General features: G+C 42.4%; 1 annotated feature.

Annotated features, from left to right (window-relative positions):
- Positions 1,263 to 1,433: a silencer, noted in NCBI's record as "fragment chr1:152350237-152350407 (GRCh37/hg19 assembly coordinates)". NCBI's record gives its function as "represses an EF-1alpha promoter that drives an FKBP-Casp9 reporter gene in an ReSE screen in phorbol 12-myristate 13-acetate-treated (for megakaryocytic differentiation) K562 erythroleukemia cells {active_cell/tissue: K562(+PMA)}" and the evidence as "EXISTENCE:reporter gene assay evidence [ECO:0000049][PMID:32094911]".

The following is a 1,950-nucleotide window of genomic DNA, read 5'->3' on the forward strand; positions in this document are numbered from 1 at the left end:
AGTCCTGTTCAAATTGCCAATTGCTCTGTGAAGCCTTTCTTGATGCCTTCTCTTTCTCAGAGAAACTGCTCTTTTCTTTATCTGCTCACCTTGTGCATACTCATATTGTTTCTCTAATCACACTAAAGTGTAATATTTTTCATTTCATGTCCTCTAGACTATTTCTTTACAGTAGGGACATGTCTTATTTTTCATGGCATTTCAACACATAAATGTACCTGACAAGCCTACATTAAAATATTCTTATTAGCCCATTTTTTGAAGAAAATAGATGGAATGACAATAAGAGAACAACTGGGGGGAGAAGTCAGATTTTAGTGATGAGACAATAAAGTTATTGTTACAGATAAACCTTGATTTATTGTACTGTATTGTGCTTCACAGATATTGCATTTTTTGCAAATGGAAGGTTTGTAGCAACCTTGTGTTGAGCAAGTCTGTCAGCACCATGTTTTCCAAAAGCATGCACTCACTTTGTGTCTCTGTGTTACATTTTGGTAATTCTTTCAATATTTCAAACTTTTTCATTATTATTGTATCTGTTATGATGATCTGTAATGAGTGGCCTTTGATGTTACTATTGTAATTGTTTTGGAGTGCCACAAACCACACCCATACAAGATGGCAAAATTAATAAATGCTGGTTGTGTTCTGACTGTTCCTCCAACTGGCCAGTCCCCCATCTCTCCCTCTCATCAGGACTCCTTATTCTCTGAGACACCATAATATTGAAATTATGCCAATTAATAACTTGGAAAATGGCCTGTAAGTGTTCAAGTGAAAGGAACAATCTCACATCCCTCATTTTAAATGAAAAGCTAGAGATGATTAAGTTTAGTGAAGAAGGCACATCAAAAGCCAAGATAGGCCAAAAGCTAGGCCTCTTGTGCCAGACAGTTTGCCAAGCTGTGAATGCAAAGAAAAAGTTCTTGAAGGACATTAAAAAGTGTAACTCCAGTGAACACATGAACAATAAGAAAGTGAAACAGCCTTATTGCTGCTATAGAGAAAGTTTTAGTGGTCTGAATAGAAGATCAAATCAGCCACAACATTCCCTTAAGCCAAAGCCTAATCCAGAACAAGGCCCTAAATCTCTTCAATTCTGTGAAGGTTGAGAGGGATGAGAAAGCTGCAGAAGAAAACTTTGAAGCTAGCAGAGGATGGTTCATGAGGTTTAGGGACTTTCATAGCTAAAGCGGAGAAGTCAATGCCTGGCTTCAAAGTTTCAAAGTACAGGCTGACTCTCTCATTAGGTACTAATGCAGCTGGTGACTTTAAGTAGAGGCCGATGCTCATTTACCATTTTGAATATCCTAGTGAAATGGGAAAGGTTCCCTTGTCCCCCTTGCAGGGCATGTGATGGGGGTGTGGCTCACTTCTTCAGTGCCCCACTGCTCAAACCTCTAGGGGAGCATACAGAAGGGCAGTCTGTGGGGCTCCGACCCCATGACTAGGGGTGAATATTTACAGCTCCTAAGCCCCAGTGGGCATGTGTTACAGGGTGCCCTTTTAGTTTGCCATCTATAGGCAGCTTGTGTTAACCAGCTCAATCAGACCCCCTTCCTTATCATAAGACAGAGTGATTTCTATATCCTGGGGTTTCTTGCCTTGGTGTACCGGAAGAATTTGGTCATACATGGGTTTGGGGAGGGACTGCAAAGTTTTATTGGGTGGAAGTAGCTCTCAGCTGATGTGGGAGCCAGAAGAAGGATGATTTTCCCCTGGAGTTGGGCTGCTTGTTGGCCCTGGCACTCCTCTGACTGCCCCGGCCAAACTCCATCTCATTCTGACAGTCAATGGCCTGCCAGTGTGCTCTTCTGCTGGCATGCTCCTCTCAATGTCCTCTCAATGACCAGCTGCTTGCATCTTCTTCTGTCTGATGTGCTCCTCTTCACATCTGTCCACCTGTGTGTCATCTGCCCGCTAGGGTCTTGGGTTTTTACAGCCCCA

This window comes from Homo sapiens, chromosome 1, assembly GCF_000001405.40.
Source record: "Homo sapiens chromosome 1, GRCh38.p14 Primary Assembly".
Lineage (NCBI taxonomy): Eukaryota > Metazoa > Chordata > Mammalia > Primates > Hominidae > Homo > Homo sapiens.